The sequence below is a fragment of the Homo sapiens genome, chromosome 17 (genome assembly GCF_000001405.40).
Source record: "Homo sapiens chromosome 17, GRCh38.p14 Primary Assembly".
Taxonomy (NCBI): domain Eukaryota; kingdom Metazoa; phylum Chordata; class Mammalia; order Primates; family Hominidae; genus Homo; species Homo sapiens.
In genome coordinates this window covers 27,412,707-27,417,191 of record NC_000017.11, presented here as the reverse complement: position 1 = coordinate 27,417,191, position 4,485 = coordinate 27,412,707, and the positions used below count along the sequence as shown (strand labels likewise).

Here is a 4,485-nt window from a genome sequence, read left to right as displayed (position 1 = left end):
CATTAGCCACCTCACCATCCTACTCTCAAAGCACACTTGGCCCTCGTATCTGGGAGCTCTGCATCTGTGGATTCAGCCAACAGCGGATGGAAAATATTCGGAAAAGAGATTAGATGACTCTACTGAACATGTGCAGACTTTGTTCTTGTCATCATTCCCTAAATAATACAGTATCACAACCATTTACATAGCATCTGCATTGTATTGTATATCATAAGTAATCTAGAGAAGGTCTAATGTATATGGGAGGATGTGCACAGGTTATATATAAATACTAGGCTGTGTTAGGCCAGGTGCGGTGGCTTACACCTGTAATCCCAGCAATTTGGGAGGTCGAGGCGGGCAGATCACCTGAGGTCAGGAGTTAGAGACCAGCCTGACCAATAGGGAGAAACCCCATCTCTACTAAAAATACAAAATTAGCCAGACATGGTGGCACATACCTGTAATCCCAGCTACTCAGGAAGCTGAGGCAGGAGAATTGCTTGAACCCCGGAGGTGGAGGTCACAGTGAGCCAAGATTGCGCCATCGCACTCCAGCCTGGGCAACAAGAGTGAAACTCCATCTCAAAAAATAAAAAATAAAAAATACTTGGCCATGTTATATCAGAGACTTGAGCATCCATGGATTTTGGCATCCCTGGGGACCCTGGAACTAATCCTCCATGGATACCAAGGGTTGACTGTATAAACTCACTCAGGAAGGCTTCTCATTGGAGGAAGGGCCCAGTTCAGGACAGACAGGGACATCCTCCCTGGACTACTGTCCATTCATCCATCCATTCATCCATTGCCCCTCCACCCCATCCCGCCCCAGGACTGTCCCAGTGACAGCCCTAGCAAGTGGAGACAAGAAAAAAGACTGGCTCACGTTGTCCAACTTTGAGGTCTTGGAAGAAGTTGCACCAGTATAAGGATAGGGGGTAAGTTTCCTCCAGGATCCAGAGAGCATATCAGGCAGCCTCGGGGTGAGGAAAGGAGCCCGGCCTCTCCAGCAGCCACACAGGCCTGCAGTAGGATGGGGCTGGGCCTGGCCATGTGGATCACTTGGGCCTAATTAGGGGGAAGGAAAGACCAGGGGGCAGAGGAGGAGCATCAGGGCAGCTGGTGGCCTAAGGAGAAGGCATTTCAGGGAAGGGGTCTGTATTAATTTGTTTTCACACTGCTATAAAGAAATACCTGAGACTGGGTAATTTATAAAGGAAAGAGGCTTAATTGACTCGCAGTTCAGAAAACTTCCAATGATGGCAGAAGGTGAAAGGGAAGCAGGAGCCTTCTTCACAAGGTGACAGGAGGGAGTGAGTGGAGAACGAGGAAGTGCCACACTTTAAAACCATCAGCTCTCTTGAGAATTCACTCACTATCGGGGAACAGCACAGGGGAAACTGTCCCCAGATCCAATCCCCTCCCACCAGGTTCCTCCCTTGACACAGAAGGATTACAATTCCAGATGAGATTTGAGTGGGGACACAGAGCCAAACCTATCAGGGTCTCCATCTGTCTTGCAGCTCCCTCGGGGCTGAGGTTGAGTGCAGATCTGCTGGCCCTGCTCTACAGCACGCGGGGACTCTGCCTGTGTGCCCCGAATTGCTGCTTCTTGGGGGTGGTGGCTGCTTCCTCAAGAGGAGGGTGGATCTGCTCTCCTGCCAGCACACACCCCCTCCCCCAACTCCAGGGCCTTGTGGAGCCCTGGCCACATCCTCCCAGGCTTGAAGGCATAAAACCAGGCTCCTTGCTCTTCTTGCTGTTTAGGTGACAAGCCCCCAGTCATCCCTAGGTCCTGTCAGTGCCCCTGCTTCTAAATAAAGAGTGTATTGCCAAATCTTCCTGGGAAAAGCCGGGGCCTCATCCCTGTTATCTGTTCTGTCTTCCTAAAGCCAGGTTAAGACATCTGGGCAAGCAGGCGATAGAGTGATTCATTGTGATTTAACAAGTATTTGTGTTCCTCTTGTGTGCCACACAATTTGCCTAGGTACTGTGAGTGCAAAGATGAAACAGATATGATTACTATACTTATGGAGGCTCAGTCTAGTCAGTGTTTTTTTAAACAGAATAGAACATATCAGAGTGGGACATTGTAAGGGTAAGAATGATTTAAGGAAGTTATTTCACATACTGTGTGTGTTTATACATATACAAAATGTTTCTTATTGCAGGTCTCGTTCCAAAAAGTTTGATAGCCTTTACTCTAGTGCAGCGGTTTTCAATTGAGGTGATTTTGTCCTTCAGAGGACATTTGGCAATCTCGGGAGATATTTTTGATTGTCACAGCTTGGAAGGTGCTACTGGCATCTAGTGGGTGGAGACTGAGATGCTGCTAACCTTTCTACCATGCACAGGACAGTTCCCACAGCAAAGAATGATTCTGCCCAAGCTGTCAATAGCGCTGCTGTTGAGAAACCGATTCCAGTGGAAGAGACAGGCACGTAGACACATGAAAGAGAACAGGGAAGGGAATTACAGGGCAGGTGGAAAGTGAGCTTGCTAGGGAGAGGGCAAGGTGGGGGAACCACAGTTACTGACTTGCCAGCTCTACTGGGCACTGTTCTGAGTGGGGAAATAGTTTTATCATAGGTATTTGTGCAAGGTATTATATGAAATCTTTAAAATGGCACTGGAAGGGGTAGGTATTATCCCAACCTATAAATGCACAAGTCGGGGCTTTAAGTGTTTAAGTAACATACGTGAGGTCACATAGAAAGTTGTGAGCTGGAACCTGGCATGGTGACTCATGGCTTGCAATCCCAGCACTTGGGGAGATGGAGACAGCAGGATCGCTTGAGCCCAGTAGTGGGCAAAAAAGTGAGACTCTGTATCTAAAAATAAAGTTGTAAGCTGGGACTGATGCTACCATTACCCTGAAATATGTTTGTTTGTTCAAAGAATTTGGATGATCAATAGACAAGTTTTGTGTCCCAGAGGAATAAGGAAATGAGAAAGTTGAAAGTGCTGAAGAAAAAAGCCCATGCGCTTCACCGTGAGATTTGGGCTAGCTAGGAAAGGGAAGCAGGAAGCAAGAGAGCGGCTGATAAATTGGGAGGAGATGTGAGAAGTTCAAGAGTCTGGACATCTTAAATGAGATACATGCATTAGAAGAAAAAAAGAGAAAACAACAACAACAAAAAAGAGTCTGGATGTCTTGATGAGTTCCTAAGTAGAAATGACAGAGAAGAGGAACTGAAAAAGGAAGTCATGGGCCAAGAGTGGAGTATTACAATTTCAGACTTCTAGTATGGAGCAGCACAGTTACGGGTGTGGACAAGTGAATGTCTTGGAGTAGAAGGCAAAGAACATTTTTGCATGGAACATGGCCACACCATACCTTGGTGTGATCTCAGGTATTGGATAGGTTGGCTGTAGATACTCAGTGAATTTGGAAGAAGGGCCTAGAGATCTATCGATGATAGAAACTGAGAAACAGAATGTAGAATATCAGCTTGTGAAGAGGAAGGGTTTGGAGTGACAGGAGAGCAGTCATTGAGTATGTGAGGAGCTAGGAGAACATGGGAATCTTCATTCTCCTAGAGCAGGCTCTATTTGAAAAGCCATCAGGGAGGTAGTTTATTCAGAAAATAGTTTTGCTTAGCTAAGATAAGGATGTGATTATGGAAGAAATGTGAGAGAATGTTTTATAGTAGAAAGGAGGTTCCAGGGGAATGAGAGGAACCTAGAAAGTTTCAACAGTAGTGTCATGAGTTAATAGAAAACAGGAAGCAAGCTGGGTATGTGCGTTTAGAGGTGGTGTACATTTTCAGCATTATAAATGGATAGAGATGAGTGGCAATAGTTACTTTGGTCCATAGGTTTTTGGTGTCTTAACTAGTTATGGATCTCTACCACTAAAGGAATTGCCTGTTGAACGTTGTTAGGATAAGAGTACTGAAGGCAAACTGCCTGGGTTTGAATTTTATTCTGTTCCTTTCGACCTTTCTGGGTTCAAATCCTAGCTCTGCGTATTAAGTTCTTTTAAGCTGATGATCTTTGAGCAAATGTCTTAGCTTCTGTTTGCCCATGTAAATGGACACAATAGTTGTTACCTTGTAAAAGAAGTTAATTCATATAATTGACCAGCATTAACTAAGAAGCACCAGTGTACAATTTTAGTCAGTGGTAATTGACTAGCTGGACTGTGAGGCTGTGTGTGTGTGTGTGTGTGTGTGTGTGTGTAGCATGTAATAGAATGAAGAAAGGAAAAGATACTTTTTATAACCTACAGGCAGCTTTTCTCGGCTTTTGTGTCAAGAGGGAAGAAGGAAGTTTGGAGGATATGAATTCTGTTTAATACTAAGCTCTCTTATTGAAAACCAGAGGTAGATAGAATGTGTAATAATTTACAGAATTTCTAGACTTGATCCGATTTTTTAAAATTTATTTTCATTTTTTAGGTTGAGGCTGAGCTAAAGTTAATCTGTTGTAACATTCTGGATGTACTGGACAAACACCTCATTCCAGCAGCTAACACTGGCGAGTCCAAGGTTTTCTATT

General features: G+C 44.8%; 1 long non-coding RNA gene across 1 annotated transcript; it reads left to right on the top strand.

Annotated features, from left to right (window-relative positions):
- The first annotated feature begins 3,224 nt into the window (after nt 1-3,224).
- On the top strand, nt 3,225-4,485 carry LOC105371705 (uncharacterized). Its single transcript, XR_001753055.2, has 2 exons — nt 3,225-3,338; nt 4,386-4,485. It is a non-coding gene; the product is annotated as an uncharacterized LOC105371705 (long non-coding RNA).